This window comes from Homo sapiens, chromosome 3 (genome assembly GCF_000001405.40).
Source record: "Homo sapiens chromosome 3, GRCh38.p14 Primary Assembly".
NCBI lineage: Eukaryota > Metazoa > Chordata > Mammalia > Primates > Hominidae > Homo > Homo sapiens.
This window is the reverse complement of record NC_000003.12, coordinates 113,488,928-113,506,672: the sequence shown is the minus strand read 5'-3', so window position 1 is coordinate 113,506,672 and position 17,745 is coordinate 113,488,928. Positions and strand designations below refer to the sequence as shown.

The 17,745-nt window shown below is 37.6% G+C and overlaps 1 protein-coding gene and 1 long non-coding RNA gene across 17 annotated transcripts in view; both read left to right on the top strand.

Annotated features, from left to right (window-relative positions):
- The window catches only part of SPICE1-CFAP44 (SPICE1-CFAP44 readthrough (NMD candidate)), a 228,227-nt gene that overhangs the window by 8,484 nt on the left and 201,998 nt on the right, over window positions 1-17,745 (top strand). For 11 of the 12 annotated variants that reach the window (NR_183046.1, NR_183045.1, NR_183050.1 and 8 more), the window contains exons 2-7: window positions 68-166; window positions 3,446-3,493; window positions 7,091-7,234; window positions 12,531-12,624; window positions 13,361-13,467; window positions 17,610-17,728. This is a non-coding gene — a long non-coding RNA (SPICE1-CFAP44 readthrough (NMD candidate)). The remainder of the gene's footprint in view (window positions 1-67; window positions 167-3,445; window positions 3,494-7,090; window positions 7,235-12,530; window positions 12,625-13,360; window positions 13,468-17,609; window positions 17,729-17,745) is intronic. The other variant, NR_183051.1, reaches the window with a different exon arrangement.
- Window positions 1-17,745, top strand: part of SPICE1 (spindle and centriole associated protein 1) — a 72,439-nt gene that overhangs the window by 8,484 nt on the left and 46,210 nt on the right. For all 5 annotated transcript variants that reach the window (NR_170870.1, NM_001331078.2, NM_144718.4 and 2 more), the window contains exons 2-7: window positions 68-166; window positions 3,446-3,493; window positions 7,091-7,234; window positions 12,531-12,624; window positions 13,361-13,467; window positions 17,610-17,728. Coding sequence is in view for 4 of the 5 variants with exons in the window: in NM_001331078.2 (NP_001318007.1) it covers window positions 68-166; window positions 3,446-3,493; window positions 7,091-7,234; window positions 12,531-12,624; window positions 13,361-13,467; window positions 17,610-17,728 (611 nt within the window). In the remaining variant the exon portion in view is untranslated. The remainder of the gene's footprint in view (window positions 1-67; window positions 167-3,445; window positions 3,494-7,090; window positions 7,235-12,530; window positions 12,625-13,360; window positions 13,468-17,609; window positions 17,729-17,745) is intronic.

Sequence of the window (17,745 nt, the reverse complement as noted above, 5' to 3'; positions counted from 1 at the left end):
CCCCACTCTGGTGATGCTTATTGTTTTTTCTTGTATTTTAAAAATTTGATGTGATTATTATTCCTAGATGTCATTTGTCAGAGTGAACCGCTGTGGTCCCCGAGTTGGTGTAAGAAAGACACCGAAAGTAAAGAAGAAGAAAACTTCAGTGAAACAAGAATGGGATGTGAGTATAGGTGGGATAGTAAATAATGTAACATTACTCTGGAGAAATGGACACAGTGATATGGCCCTAGTCATGCAAGATGGTGTTCTGAATGGGGCTCATCACGTAATAGGGTGGAATAGGTTTCTGGGCATGTGATATTCTAGGTCTTGGAGGGAAAAGCAGAATCCTTTGGGGGAGGTTTTTAGAATACACACATCCAGGCTGTAACCTCTATATCCTCTGAAGAATTGGAATCCTAAGGGGATGGGGAGCATATTTTAAAAAACGTCTTTTCACTTTGACTCTGAGAACTCACTGCATAAAGGCAACTCTAGCTCACTGGTGTCAATGAAGTCTGTGAATTTTTCGGTACCTTTTTTAGGTTTGCTCAGAGCAACCAGTGATATCATAACCATGTGAGTGCCAGTTTTGGCTGAAAAAAATAGGTGACCTTTGCTCTCTTATCCCATGAATTGCTCAATTCCAGAGGTTGATCGGTTTCAGAACAAATGTTCTCTTGTGGTATAAGACAAGGCTGAAGTACCTGTAACATGTGATGTATGGCTCCTAACCTGAATATTGCCTGGTGTTACCAAGGGGATTTATATCTTTTTTTTAAGAGACAGGGTCATGTCCTGTCACCCAGGCTGGAGTGATGTGATGCCATCATAGCTCACTGCAGCCTTAAACTCCTGGACTCCAGCAATCCTCCTGCCTTAGCCTCCTGAGTAGCTAGGACCAGAGGCATGCACCACCACCCCTGGCTAACTTAAAAAAAATATTTTTTGTAGAGACAGGTCCTTGCTGTGTTGCCCAGGTTGGTCTTAAACTCCTAGCCTCAAGCGATCCTCGTGCCTTCGCTTCCCAAAGTGCTGGGATTATAGGCGAGCCATTGCACCCAGCTAGATTTCTCTTTTGTGACCTGATACTTTGGTTTGGACCATGAGACTTTAGGTGTCTTTACTTTCCATTGTGAAGAGTAACTAGTTAGGGATTAGTTTGGATCTCAGGGATTCTTTTGGACTTGGAATCTTCTTGTTTGCAACCTACCATGTTAGCCAGATATCCTGGGCAAACTGACAGCCTTTGAAGTGGGGCAGCGGGACTTCTCTGTGTTTAGATTGTTTTGTTGCTGTCTGATTGGCTATAAAATTTTAATAACAAGGATGTGACTCTAAGGTAAGGAAACTGATAAATCGGAAAAAAAAAATATGTGATAACATATTTTCCCCTTCAGAGTGGTTACTTTGAGAAGTTTAGTACAGTTGACCTTTGAACAACATGAGTTTGAGCTGCACGGGTTCATTTACGCATGAATTTTTTTTCAATAAATACAGTTGGCTGTATCCTGGGGTTCCACCTCTACAACGAAAGGTGGATTGAAAATACAGTGTTTTCAGGATGTAAAACCCAGATATGGAGAGCCAATTAGGTGGGATTTGAGTATGTGTGGATTTTGGTATATGTGGGTGTCCTGGATACTGTGGGATGACTGCATTTATTCCAATATGCCACTATTGCTTAAAACTTAATTGAAATCTATCATTTGAAATTGCATTAAGAACCTTCCTCATTTTATCTGCAGTGCTGGAAAAATCTTTTGTTTTTTGAAGGTAGACTGAACTTGGAAAATAGTCATAAGTCATTTGGAGTAAATGGTAAATGATGGAGAAGAGATCAAACTGATTATTACTGTCTTGATAAAAATAGTGAAACATTTTCTGAAATGGCTTGTAGATTAGATTTAAATGGAATGTCAAAAGAAAATGGTTTTAAGCAATGGTTTTAGTATTGATGGAATTATTATTTTCTTCCATGAGAACAAATTTCAAGCCTATCACTTACTTGTATGCCTGAGTTTTTAAATGCCTATTAAAAACAATTCTCATGATCCTGTAGTTGTACCTTGTACCTTTCTTTTCCTTTTCCCTTTTTTTTTTTTTTTTTTTTTTTGAGACAAGGTCTTGCTATGTTGCCCAGGCTGGCCTCAGACTCCTGGGCTCATGATGAGATCTTCCTGCCTCGGCCTCCTGAACCTCCTGGGTAGCTGAGACTACAAGCGCACACCACCATGCCTGGCTCTTGTACCTTTCTAAATCATTGTAAAAGTAATAACAGTTTTCATACAGAAAAGCCTTGAGCCAAATATAAATCATGGCCAAAAAGTTTAGTCTTTGATCAGAAGCCATTTTTGACTGTTCGTATTCCTCGTCACTTAGAAGTAAAACTAACTTGTTTTATTTCCTGCCTTACCAAATCTGTGTAGCAAAATGGCTGAAGTTGCTTTGGAAAGGGCCAAGTTACAGGGTTGCTACTTAGAGCTGTGCAGCCTGTGTACCACACAATTTCAAGGGGTGCTATTTACACGGACTCTGATATTAATGGTAACTTATGGAGTTGTGCAGGGTGGTAGCCCTGCCATGATAGTTTAGTGCCTTTTAATTTAACTGACTGTTTTTACATTTTATGAAATTATGCATTGCCCTCAAATTTCATCTTCCATTGTAGTAGCATCTATGCTTAAGATGTTTGCAGACACAAATTGAACCTCTCTATAGTGATCACACTTTCTTTTTTTTTTTTTTTTTTTTTTAGATAGAAACTCGCTTTGTTGCTGAGGCTGGAGTGCAGTGGCACAATCTTGGCTCACTGCAGACTCCACCTCCTAGGTTCAAGTGATTCTCCTGCCTCAGCCTCCTGAGTAGCTGGAATTACAGGTGCCCGCCACCAGGTCTGGCTAATTTTTGTATTTTTAGTAGAGATGGAGTTTTGCCATGTTGGCCTGGCTGTTCTCGAACTCCTGAGCTCAGGTGGTCCACCCACCTCAGCCTCCCAAAGTGCTGGGATTACAGGCATGAGCCACTGTACCCAGCCAGTGATCTCACTTTCTTTTAGGAACCTTTAGCGTTACGTTGTGGAATCCTGGGATTCCATAGACTACAGTGTGAAAACTAAAACTTTAGTTAAACTTACTCATTTTGAATATATACTACCATTTATTCATATATCATATATTCATTTTGAGTATTTTCATTGTTTTACTATAGTGTATGACTGCTTGGTGAATACAGTACTTATTTTCTGTAAGACATCTAAAATTAGTCTGTTATTTTCTATAAATAGGACACCTAAAACTAATATGTGTTCATATCTAAATTGAGAATACTGGTTCCTAGAAAGAAAGAATTTTTGGTCCTAGGATTTTGAAACCATTTTAGCCATTAAAATCCAATAAATGTGTATATTTTATAAGAAAACTTTTTTTTTTTTTTAAAGAAAGGCCACCTTTTTTTACAGAATACCGTGACTGATCTAACCGTTCATCGGGCAACTCCCGAAGATCTGGTGAGTTTAATATCAAAACTTAAGTCATTTATTCAGTGTTTTATTTGGTATTTGACTTGTAACCTTTAGAATAGAAACTATAGGCACTTCCTGGAAGTTGTTCAGTTATGTTTAATCTTGTTTATGTCTATATAAAATCAAAACGCCTATCTTCTGGACTTCCTGATTTGAGCTAGGAATATCAATTAGTATGTATTAGAGTTTCATTAAATATGTTGGGTTTATAGTTGAAATCTCTTCAGTCTAGTACTGCCTGATATATATCTATCTATCTGCCTTTTTAAAAAATCTATAGATATCTTCAGCATTATTTATTACTTCCCTATACAAACATATTGTTCTAGTCAGTGTAATAATTTCTGTGTATTTCCATGTCTGAGCCCCCATTCCTTACTTGGAACAGTTTCTGTACCTTCTTCTCTACCCGTTCAAATCTTACCTTACTTCCTTATCCTAGTTCAAATCCTACTTTTTTTTTTTATGTTTCCACTTAGGTTTTTTTTTTTTTTTTTTTTTTAAGATTTATTGAGATATAGTTCACATACCATGAAATTTACCTGTTTAAAGTGTGCAGTTTGGTGATTTTTGGTATATTCAGAGTTGTGCAACCATTGTCACTATCTAATTTTGGAATGTTTTCATTACCCCAAAATGAAACCCTCTACCCATTAACAGTCACTCCTTGTGCCCAGTTCTTCCCAGTTTGTGGCAATGACCAATGTACTTTGTGCTTTTATGTATTTGCCTATTCTGGTCGTTTGATATATGCGGAATACAACACGTGGCCTTTTGTGTCTAGCTTCTTTGTCTTAGCATAATATTTTCAAGGTTCATCCCTGTTGTAGCATGTATGTCTCTGCCCACTGCAGCCTCCACCTCCTGTGATCAAGCCATCTCCACCTCAGCATCTTGAGTACTTGGGACTACAGGTGCATGCCACCACGCCTGGCTAAGTTTTGTATTTTTTGTAGACACAGGGTTTTGCCGTCTTGCCCAGGCTGGTCTCGAACTCCTGGGCTCAAGGAATCTGCCCACCTCAGCCTCCCAAAGTGCTGGTATTATAGGCATGAGCCACCACGCCCAGCTCATAGTAGTTCTTTATTCCTTATAATTGCCAAATAATATTCCATTGTATGGATCTACCATTTTATTTATCTGTTGTTCAGTTGGTGGACATTGCATTGTTTCTGCTTTTGCATTGTTAGGTATAATGCTGCTGTGAACATTCATGTACAAGTTTTTGTGTGAACATGTATTATCAGTTCTTTTATATGTATACATCTAGGAGTAAAATTGCTGAGTCATATAATTTCTCCATATTTAACTTTCTAAATAATTGTCAAACTGTTCTATGAAGTGGCTGCACCATTTACATCCCCGCCAGCATGTATGAGGCTTCCAGTTTCCTCACATTGTTACTGTCACCTTTTTCATTTTAGTTCTCTTAGTAGGTGTAAAGTGCTGTCTCATTGTGGTTTCAATTTGCATTTCCCTAATTGATAAAGGATGTTAAGCATCCTTTTGTGTACTTTTCGGCCATTTCTACTATATTCTTTGGAGAAATGTCTATTCAAATACCTTAGTCATTTAAAAATTGGATTATTTGTGCTTTTATTGTTGAGTTATAAAAATTATGTATGTATTCTGGATTTGAGTTCCTAATCAGATATAATTTGCAAGTATTTTCTCCCATTTTCTTAGTTGTTTTTTCAGTTTCTTGATGGTGTCCTTTAAGCAGGGAAGTTTTTAATTTTGATGAAGTCAAATTTACCTGTTTTTTATTTTGTCACTTGAGTTTTTAGTATCATACCTAAGAAACTGTTACCTAACCCAAGGTTCACAAAGACATACTCCTATGTTTTCTTCTAAGAGTTTTATAGTTGTAGTTCTTATATGTAGAACTATGATTCATTTTAAGTTAATTTTTCTGTATGGTGTGTGGTGGGAGGGGGGCCCAACTTTATTTTTTGCTAAAGGATAATCATTGTCCAAACAGCATTTATTGGAAAGACTATTCTTTCCCCATTGAATGATCTTGGAACTCTTGTTGAAAAATCACTTGTCCATAAATATAAATGTTTATTCAGCACTCTCAATTCTATTTCACTGATTTATATGTCAATCCTTATGCCAGTACCACATTGTCTTGATTACTGTCGTTTTATAGTAAGTTTGAAGTCCTGTTTTTGAAACTGACCAACAGTTATCTCCTCTGAACTATTACTACCTAACTTAGGCATTGAGTATATGACATCTAATGTATATCATTTGTCTTTATAAGGATGTGCCCAATCTCAATGGGCAGATTGTTAATGCTTTTGAGAGATACAGACCATATCTTATACATCTTTGTGTACCCAGGAGTCTTAATCCTAGTAGGTGCTCATTAACTATTTACTGAGAATAATAATTATGCCCAACTGAGTTAATATTTTTTAAATGAAAAATTTCAAACTCAAGGGAAAATGGAGATAAAAATAGAAATAACTACTATGTACTGTTCACCCAGATAGGATAGTTATTAAAAATTTGCCACAGTTGCTTCATTTATCTTACCCTTTTCTTTTTTCTCTGAAATATTTTAAAGCAAATTCCAGAGAACACATCATTTTGTGCTTACATATTCAGTTTGCATTTTTTAAAAATGTAAGCCTTTTTTTTTTCAACATAACCACAGTGCCATTATTACATCCAACAAAAGTAAATATAATTATTTGTAACACCTAATACCTAGCCCATATTCAAATCTCCTCAGTTGTCTAAAAAATGTCATCTTCATTTGTTTTTTGTGAGTCAGAATCCTTGTGTAATACTTGTTATTGTCTCTTTAATGGATTGATTTTTTATTTACATGGTGAAAACTCAGTAGTACATTTTATCATATATGTTCATGTTCATAGTTCTGAATACTAGAGTACTTGTAAAATCAAATATCTAATTTTATTTCTTAGCCACCTTAGTGAACCTTAGTGAACCCACCTTAGTGAACCCTCTAACACTTGAGATCTGTGGCGCGTATCTCTTCTTGTACTTCAGGAACTCTATTTCCCTGACTTCTGTATTTTCAGTGACCCACTCCCACATGAGGCCATTGAAGGGCTATAAACACTACATTATTATTTCTTGGTAGTAGTGTGATGATCATGAAATGAGTGTGTCTTTGCCAAAGATGACTCGGTGGATTTTGTACCTTTTACATTGTGCTCAGTTAGTGTGTGTATATGTGTGTATGTGTATGTTAAAAAAAAATGCTGGTTTTGACCCATGAATTGATTTTATCATCCATTAAGTGAGTCCCAACCTGTGGTTTGAAAAACACTAGTTTGCTGGATAGTCTTGCAGAAAAGTAGTAGAAATTATTATTTCTTTCTGTACATCTTTTAGGTAGGTTTACCAGTTCTATATACTGCTTTCTTTAAGATCATTTTTGAAAATTTAGGGGACTGAAAATTTTGGCTATGAATATATATAAACATGCACATATTGGACCAGAAAAAGTTTAAAAAGTGATGAACTAGAGTAGGTGATCTCATCATCTGAATAGGCAACTTCTTTGTGTCTGAAACATTCCTTTATGTACTTTTCTCTTCTGTATAGGTACGCCGTCATGAAATACACAAATCGAAGAATAGAGCATTAGTACACTGGGAACTCCAAGAAAAAGCTTTGAAGAGAAAATGGAGGAAGCAGAAACCAGAAACTTTAAATCTTGAGAAAAGAAGATTGTCTATCATGAAGGAGGTAATGCTAAACTGCATTAGAGTTAGAAAGAAAAAAAGGAGATAAATAGGGTTCTTTGTTTTTCTTCAATTTGATTCACGTTGGAGAGACTCTAGTAATCACTGCATTCTTATTCAATAATCTACATGTGGACTTCAAAAAAAGCAACAGAGTGGTGACTGGAGTCTGGTTTGGTGGTTTGAATTCCTGTTCTACTACTTACCAGCTGTGTGACCCTAAGTAAATTATTTAACTTTTCAGCCTGAATTTTCTCATATTTAAAATTATTATTTGCTTGTATTGCTATGAGATTTCAGTGATATAATACTTACAAAGTGAATAGCACAATCTTTGCTTATTCCTCTTTTTGTATATAAGCTGCTATAATAATTTTTCTCAGTAAAGTGATTAGCACAATCTTTTCTTATTCCTCTTTTTATATATAAGCTGCTATAATTATTTTTCTCAGTTTAACAGCAGTGCTGTTAGGTTACTTTGAAAAAAAAATGATGTTGTATGCTTGTCCAACTGAGTAATAAGCAACTTGTCTTTGGCTTAACCTTTTGCCAGACGTGGGGTGTTCAGATAAGTAATCAGATATGTAGGGATAAACAATATGGGAAATAAGAGGAAACTACAGCAAATAACCTTTTTAAATTTGAGCTGAAGTCATTGTGAAGGAATGTGCTTTGTCTGTAGTGTTGCTCCTTGTTCATATTGAAGCTTATGTACAGCACTTAGCTGTCTGACCTTTCACGGCAGCTTTGAATCATACATTTTCTTTTGAGGAATTTGTTAGGCTTCTTATTGAAATAAAGTCTCAGTCTTAGACATCATCAGGAAGAATAATATCTCCCAAATAAATGTTTACATGAGCTTGAGAAAAGAACAGTGGCTTGATTGAGAGAATGCTTCTTTACAGGTAAGTATCTTTTGGTGATCTTGGACAAGTCGCATACATTTAAATGTTATGGGGTAATTCTCAGTGAAAGGCCTAAAAACACAGATCTCACCACGAAAAAAGGCAGCCTGCTTGGATTGCATCAGACTCTGGGCTTATTTTCCTTTCTCTAGTGGTTCCTGCTCATGTCCTGAATTTCTCATACAAGTTATAGATGTGGTAGAAGTAGGTGTTTAAAGAAGGGTGGTGAGAGACGATGAGTGATGTTTCTTTGCCTTCTTTTTGTAGATCTGCTGCCTCAGGCACTAGTATAGTGGTTCTCAACTCTCACTGCACATTAGAATCAGTCAGGGTCAAGAAGCTCCATTAAAAAAATATATAACAGCTGGGTGTGGCAGCTCATGCCTGTAATCCCAGCATTTTGGGAGGCCAAGGCGGGCAGATCACCTGAGGTCAGGAGTTCAAGACCAGCCTGGCCAACATGGTGAAACCCCATCTCTACAAAAATACAGAAATTAGCTGAGCATGATGGCGGGTGCCTGTAATCCCAGCTACTTGGGAGGCTGAGGTGGGAGAATTGCTTGAACCTGGGAGGCGGAGGTTGCAGTGAGCCGAGATTGGTCCATTGCACTCCAGCCTGTCTCAAAAACAACAACAGCAAAACCAAAAAAAAAAAAAAGCCCTAAAGATTAGCTGGGTACAGTGGCAGGTGCCTGTAGTCCCAGCTACTCAGGAGGCTGAGGCAGGAGAATCGCTTGAATCCGGGTTGCAGTGAGCTGAGATTGTGCCACTGCACTCCAGCCTGGGCAACAGAGTGAGACTCTGTCTCAAAAAAAAAAAAAAAAAAAAAAGCTCTCTTTCTCTCTCTCTCTCTCTATGTATGTATGCATATATATATAACTATATCTGGACTCTATACCCAGAGATTCAGATTTAGTTGACCTAGGATGTGGCCCCATGTAGGTGTTTTTTAGACAGTTCCTATGTAATTTGAATGTGCTGCAGGGGTTGAGCACCTCAGCTCTCATCAGGATTCAGGTATTTTCTCTCTACCAGCATATCTTGGGATAATTTCCTGTCAGTGCTTAGACATCTACCTTTTCTTTTTGATGGCCATTAGCATATAGATGTACCACAATTTATTTATCCTGTGCTTTATTGGTGAACACTTAGGTTGTGTGTTAGAGTATAGTTTAAGCTTCTGGAAATAAAAAAATACCCTCCTATATGTTTTGCTTTAAACAAACAAATTTGTTTCTGTTTATTAAACAGTTGAGAGGAAAGTGGTAGCTGGTAGGGAACTCTGCAGTCCTTTATTACACAGCTTCTGTCTCTGAATACAAAATGGCCATAGCAGCTTCATTCAGCTATATGCCAGCCAGCAGGAAACAGGAAGAACAGTGCATGCTACTCCTATTACATGTCACCCAGAAGTTCTGGCATATATCCTGTTGGCCAGAAAGTCATCACATGGCCATTCCCACTTACAAAGATGGTTGGGAAATCTAGCTATGTAATTGGCTAAAATGCAGGAGTTCTGCTGTTAAAGGAGAAACCAAAAGAACATTGCTGGATACTTAAGTAGTACTGTCAGTTACCCACAGATTGTCTTCTACCTTGCTACTATCAATAATGTAATAAATATCCTTGAAAATGTTTTTGGGTACACATGTAAGTATATTTTCAGGATAAATTCTTAAAAGTAGAATTGCTTAGTCAATGGATATGTGCATCTTTTATTTCAATGTTGGTAAATTTGCAACGTCTCTGTTTAAGGGATGCAGTGGACCAAAGGAAGAAGCCTCCTTAGACATATTCACATAAGCTTCATCATTATGTATTAAAGCTAACAGGACCCATCCACCTGAAGCTGGACTCCCAGATTAACATAAATTAAGAGAAAGCTCTTTGGCCAGCATAATCTTAGATTTCATTTGCTGTAAGATGTACCCATGCCATGGGAATCAAGCAAATTAGGGTTCCCTCTCACTCATGGAGAGGCTTTCAAAAAGATCTTATAAATCCCCAAAATGTAATAACTCCTAAAGCCTCTTTGTAATTTCCCAATTCTACCTCATGTCTTTTACTGTGGTACAAAAGGGCTAAGATGACGAGTTTCTGATAATGTCTTTTTTTTTGTAGAGACTGGGATCCTTTGAAAATCCAACATGTGTACCACCACTTACAGGTTTAAGTTTGTGCTCTGCAAACTCATTTGAGGAGTAATAGATAGAGTTAGGCTTGTAGAGATCAGTTTACCTGTCAAATGGATGGGCTTTATGAGAGGAGTTATAAATCTAGAAAGAAGAAGTAAAAGCCAATACACTGATCTTTGATCACTCAAACCATTTTTCCCAAGGGCAGGGACTAAACAGGGGTTTCCAGTCTTTTGGCTTCCCTGGGGCACATTGGAAGAAGAAGAATTGTCTTGGGCCACACATAAAATAAACTAACATTAATGATAGCTGATGAGCTAAAAAAAAAAAAAAAAAAAAAAAAGTTGTAAAAAAAAAATCTCATAATGTTTTAAGAAAGTTTACAAATTTGTGTTAGGCCACATTCAAAGCCATCCTGAGCCACAGGTTGGACAAGCTTGGACTAGCAGAAGGTGACAGATAATGGTTTTTACATGAGACCTCATTATAATCAATATCAGGTCTCAATATGGTTATAAGATTATAATCTTCATGTGTCAATTCCATCTCTTTATTTTGATAGGTCAATGCTTTTAAAAAATAGTAAACTCTTAAAATTATTATTAGGAAATAAGCTTTGTGTAATTTTTCTGGTATAGTGAAAGATTATACTCATTCATTCACATTCTTTCCTAAGCTCATAATTCCTTGTACTTGCAAGACGGCTAAGTAAGAATAGAAATTTGGTTTGTGGGATAATATAATTTAAGTTATAGCAAAATTCTGAAACATCTCTAGAGTGGTATATAGGTTTTCAGTGTTTCCATATCCATCTACCACCCCTGTGGGGCTGGGGAAGGGTTGTTGACTGGGACTGGACTCTCAGTCTTCTGGGTCTGATGTGCTCTTGACCTGATACCATTCCAAAGCTTACTCTTTGTAGAAGGAATAAATTCAGGGCTTTCTTCTCACTGAGTCAGCCAACCTGCTTGGCTATAGCCGGGGAAGAAGGGGAAAAATTAAGAATGTGACTCTTGCTATTTTTCTTTCTGTGTCTTAAAACAATAACTGAGGTCACATTGTGTATGTATTTGATTCTGTAGTATAGAGAAATTCTGGTAAGAGTATTTGTTATCAGATATTTTATCAATTTGAGTCAAGTGTTGGAAACTGAGCAGTTTCCAGGTACTTTTTAACTTGAGAATGCCATCTGGTGGTGGTGCCGAGAGAATTATCTGGCTTTTACTCTAGCCTGTGGCCTTACTTTTAATTATGAAAGTTCCTAAGTTGAAAGTGCATAATCCAGAGGCACTACTGTAATGTTACTTTTTGTGTTCTTACCTCTCCAGGGTAAAAAACTGATTTGTTTTTAAACACAGAGGCCTCACATTTTTTGTTTAATGCTAAAACTCATATCTTATGTCATGTTTTTAAAGTTGTAGGTCATGACTTGACACATTAGTGGATTACATTAGTGGATTCTGAATTCACTCTAGTGGTTGAAACACCTCTAAGTTTATGGCTCAAAGATTCATATCTTTCATCTGTGTTTTTCAAACTATGGATTATAATTTGTTAATGAATTGTGAAGTGAGTTGCTGCCAACATTTAAAAAATAGAATAGAAATTAACAAGAAAATATCAGTGGTTCTCATGGAGCAAGGTTAATTAAAACTTTTATTTTAATTAACTTTTTATTTAATTAAAACTTTTATTTTGTATATGTGTATGTAAATGTGGTGGGTCACAATTGTGAATATTTCTTTTTTTTTTTTTTGAGACGGAGTCTCGCTCTGTCGCCCAGGCTGGAGTGCAGTGGCGGGATCTCGGCTCACTGCAAGCTCCGCCTCCCGGGTTCACGCCATTCTCCTGCCTCAGCCTCCCAAGTAGCTGGGACTACAGGCGCCCGCTACCACGCCCGGCTAATTTTTTGTATTTTTAGTAGAGACGGGGTTTCACCGTTTTAGCCGGGATGGTCTCGATCTCCTGACCTCGTGATCCGCCCGCCTCGGCCTCCCAAAGTGCTGGGATTACAGGCGTGAGCCACCGCGCCCGGCCAATTGTGAATATTTCTTACTTTGGATTTCAGTCAGGTATTGGAAAGCCACTAATTATTGTCTTAGCCCCATCTACTGGTTCTTAAGGATATTGCTACTGAAGGTTTTTAGGAAGGTAGCCTATGGTTATTTTCATGCTCCAGGCCTTTTTATGGTCTTTTCCTTTGCGATTTGAAAAGTAAATATAATCTGAATAATAATATTTGTCATTAACACATGTCTAGATTCTTTCTGATCAATACCAGATGCAAGATGTGTTGGAGAAATCTGATCATCTAATAGCTGCAGCAAAAGAGCTGTTTCCTCGTAGGCGCACAGGTATTCAATTCAAACAAAAGCTTCTCTATTTTATTAACTGTAGCCCACAGTTGACTATTTGGAAGAATTTAAAGTCCTTTCTTAGGCATCATATTATTTATATTACAAGTATTGTAGGGTGGATTTACAAGGGTTGTTAGGGTTAGAGTCATTATAATCTGTTTCCTTTCCACTAAGAATATTAACTACTTGTATTACAAATAATTCAGCTAAGGAAAAGTAAATTGTTTTAATCTACTAAAATATGGTGTAAAGTACAGGATTTTGTAATTTTAAAATGTGACTTGAATAAAGCTTAATTTGAAACCTAAAGCAACTTCAGTCTCTCTCTAAGAGGAACTTTGCCTCTTGTCAGATACACGCATTATTTATTTTAATGTGTGTGTAGTTCATTGTTTATCTTAATCTTCTAGAAACATCATTAGTTTTTCATGTAAGGTTTGAATTCCGGCTTGGCAATCTATTAGTGTTACTCTGGGCTAGTTACTTAATGTCTGTGAGTTTCAGTTTACTGATCTGTAAAATAGTAATTGTACTTATAGGGTTTTATGAGAGTAAAATGAGTTAATATATGTAAGTACGTTTAGAACAGTGCCTGGCATATAGTAAGCACTACATTAATGTGAGCTGCTGTTTAAGATTTTCATATGATGATGCAAACCAATGGCAGTATAGAGCTTGTGAAGTCAAGTTAATTAAATGAAACAAATCATCACAACTTCTTTTCCTTTTGCAGGGTTTCCAAATGTAACAGTGGCTCCTGATTCCTCTCAGGGTCCCATTGTGGTAAATCAAGACCCTATCACCCAATCTATCTTTAATGAGTCTGTCATAGAACCTCAGGTAATGTGTTCCACTCACAGCTATAACACTCATGCTGAAAGGAAGTTTAAGTTGATATAGGCCTTGTGGTAAATATTTTAAAAGTTTAAATATCAACAAGTGCTAGTTGTGGTTGCTAGATTTGCTCTTAAGTGTATTGCACTTTCTGTGAGTAATGTTTGTATCAAACAAGACTGGATAATAATAGCTAAAATTTACTGAGTGCTTACCTAGTAGGTGTATATGCTGCTTTATCCCCATTTGGCAGATGAAGAAATTGAAGCTGAGAAAAATTAGGTGACTTGGCCAAGATCACATAGTTTGCATCAGAGATGGGATTCAAATCTAGGCCATGTGGCTCAACAAGACTGCCACCATCGATCATTATGGAGACAGCAGGGAGTCTTTCCACTTGGAGTCAGGTGGATCTACTTACTAGCTGTTTGTTCTTGAGCTGATTTCTTAATATATCTGGGTGGGCTCAGAATGTGTTTTGCTTCTTCGTTTTTTGTTAAATGGGACTAGAATGTACCTGATATCATTGTTGCATGGATCAGGTGCGAAAAGTTATGTAAAATTCCTGGTATAATACCAGGAACATAGTACTTTGTAAATGTTAGTCTCTTTTAATGTATTAGGATATTTAAAAAATAGCTTCACAAGAAACTTGCAATGTATCAACTAGTTATATGGGAGAATTGTATTACAGTAGTAAAACATTAATTGGCTGTATTCTAACCTAATGGGAATTCTTAATTAATGAAAATGTTTAGAATTTTGAGATAGTAAACTTTTTTTAAAGCCCGTGAATAATTTAATACTAAAATAAGACAACTTATGCATGACTAGGACTCAGTACCTGTTTAATGAAATTTCCTAAGTTATAGTTTCTATGAAAAAAGAAGAGAATCATCAATTAGAGGGATATTCCTAGGGAGTTGCAAGGTCCAGAATCATAAAAGATATATTAATTATATTGTTTCATACTTCCAAAGGCAATTAAGTAAAATGTTACACATATTTTAAATAGCCAAAAACCTTTTACCATATTTCCGGCAAAAACCATTTATGTTTTGGCACTTAATGAGAAGTTAGCTTTCAGATAGCTGGAAATTTAATCACCCTAGAATATCTTATTGCTGTAGTATGTTCAACTGAAGATTTTACTTTTATTTAAATAAATCATAAGTGAAGTGTGCCCTATTTATTTCAGTCATACTTTAAGTACTTTTTCAGTTAATTGGAGCCTGTAAACAAGTACACGATGTATCCCAGCAACATGGAATAAAGCAGTCAGATTTTATTCTGTTGAAGAGTCCATTCGCACACTTGAGCTTATTACCATTAATACAGCAGTAGAATTTCAAATTAATGTTACTGATACAACTAATTTACCTACCTGGTTTAAGTACTTTCTCAATTTACAGCTGATAGCAGATGAAAAACAGTGATGTGAGCCTCTCAAAGCAGAGGTAGCAGAGAAAAATGGCAGTGAGGGAGGAGAGAGAGGATACCTGAATAGATAAGCAGAGGACCACTATACATCAGAAAGGAAATTGGTGTTGCTATAGATAATCTTTTTTTTTTTTTTTTTTTTTTTTTGAGACGGAGTCTCGCTCTGTCGCCCAGGCTGGAGTGCAGTGGTGCAATCTTGGCTCACTGCAAGCTGTGCCTCCCGGATTCACGCCATTCTGCTGCCTCAGCCTCCTGAGTAGCTGGGACTACAGGCGCCTGCCACCATGCCCGGCTAATTTTTTTTTTGTATTTTTTAGTAGAGACGGGGTTTCACCATGTTATCCAGGATGGTCTCGATCTCCTGACCTTGTGATCCGCCCGCCTCGGCCTCCCAAAGTGCTGGGATTACAGGCGTGAGCCACCACGCCCGGCCTGCTATAGATAATCTTGAGTCACCAAGAAAAAATGAATTGTAACTGCATTACTTAAGTTCTCTGGGTCCTAGTTTCTTCATCCATATAGGAATTAGTGAGACTAAACCTACTCACTTATTCATCATGTAATATTTCAGATCATGCACTAGATGCTAAGATACATAGATGATTAAGGCATGTCTCTGTCATTGGATTAGGGAAATAGCAGGAGTTGAGGTTAGAGAGACAAGTAGGACCTAGGTCCTGAAGGACTAAGGACTGGAAAGTAAAAGTAGAGTCACTGAAGGATTTTAAAGAGTGGAGTCATGATGAGATCCAGTATAGTGTGGAAGATGGATTGGGGAGGGACAAGACTGGAGAGAGGGTCTGGTTAGAAGACTTAGGTGGGCATCTTAGAAGTGGTGAGGGCCTGACCCAAAGCCATGCCAATAGGGAAGGAAATAGAGGAGAATAGGGATAGACTTGAGAGTGGTTAAAATGAGGTAGAGTTGGCAGGATTCGGTGGCCGATAGGACAGGACAAGTGAGAAAGAAGGATAACTCCTCATTTGCTGGCTTGAGCATTTGAGTAGATGGTGACACTGTTCATGGTCTTAGGTAATATTGGCAGGAACAAAGTTTCTGGAAGAATGGTTGGAGGGCTTAGAAAGCTGTTCAGCTTGGACCTATTGAGTAGGGATTTTTTTTTTTCTTTTTTGAGATGGGGTCTTGCTGTGTCACCCAGGCTGGAATGCAGTGGCACAATCATGACTCACTGCAGCCTCTACCTCCTGGGCTCAAGCAATCCTCCTGCCTCAGCCTCTTGAGTAGGTGAGACCACAGGTGCACGCCACCAAGCCTGCCTAATTTTTGTGTTTTTGGTGGAGACGGGGTTTTGCCACGTTGCCCAAGCTGGTCTCAAACTCTTGGGCTCACATGATCCTCCTGCCTTGCCCTCTTAAAATGCTAGGATTACAGAAATGAGCCACTGTGTCTGGCCAGAATAGAGATATCTTATAGGCAGTTGAATATGAATGTCTGGGGCTTAGGACAGATCTGGGTGTGAAGATAGAGGTTTGGAAATTAATAGCATTTCATTTGTAATTACAGCTTTGGAATTAGATAAAAACATTCAGAAAGTGGATCAGATGAGGGGAGAAAAGGTTGATATAGGCCTTTTGGTAAATATTTTAAAAGTTTAAATATCAACAAATGCTAGTTGTGGTTGCTAGATTTGCTTTTACTTAAGTGTATTGCACTTCCTGTGAGTAACGTTTGTACCAAACAAGATAAGACTGGATAATAATAGCTAAAATTTATTGAGTGCTTACTTAGTAGGTGTGATGTGACTTGAGTCACATCATCAGATACAAGGAAAGGGTAGAAAAATAAGATCAGTAAAGGAGATTGGGAAGGAATGGCCAGAAGAGTAGGAGAAAATCTAAGAAAATACAGTATTATGGGAGTTAAAACAAGTGTATCAAGTAGCGTTTTTTTTTTTTTTTTTTTTTTGAGACAGGGTCTTGCTCTGTTGCCCAGGCTGGAATGCAGTGGCACGATCACAACTCACTGCAGCCTCGACCTTCCTGGGCTCAGGTTATTCTCCCTCCTCAGCCTCCTGACTAGCTGAGACTACAGGTGTGGGCTACCTCACCTGGCTAATTTTTAAATTTTTTTGTAGAGACATGGTTTCGCCATGTTGTTCAGGCTGGTCTTCAACACCTGGGCTCAAGTGATCCACTTGCCTTGGCCTCCCAAAGTGCTAGAGTTTTAGGCATGAGCCACCACACCTGGCCAAGTGGATTTTAAAGGAAAGAAATGAGTGGTCAGAGAAGTAAGGGAAGGCAAAGACAGAAATATCCATTTGAGTTAGAAATAAGTGTGTTGAGGTTGACCTTGTAGAGAGCAGTTTGAGTAGAGCAATAGGGCAGAAGAAGCAAAGTTGCAGGGCATAGGTGGTGAGTGAGGAGGGTGGAACAACTCTTTCAAGAAGTTTGGTGGTAGAAGAAAGAAGATATATATAGCTTAAGGTAAGTATAGGGTCAGGTTAAGATGGGAGAGGCTTGCTCACATTTAAATGTTGGTGAACTGAAGCCACTACAGAGACAGATGTTGAAAATGTGGTAGAGAGATAGGATAATTGATAGTAGTGGAAGGATGTGAGAAGATTTGTGTTCTACAACATGTGGAGGGCTTAGGAGGAGGGAACTCTCTTCTGTTATGACAGAAAAAAAAAAAGAAAGTCTGAGTATATATATAATCAACTTGTGCTATTTTTATTGTTGTGTTGAGACAGGCTCTTAATGATGTAGATGGTGAAGAAGAAGGAACTGTTAATAGCCAGTCAGGAGAAAGTGAGAATGAGAATGAGTTGGATAACTCTCTAAACTCTCAGTCTAACACGAATACAGACAGGTATGTGTATATGGCAT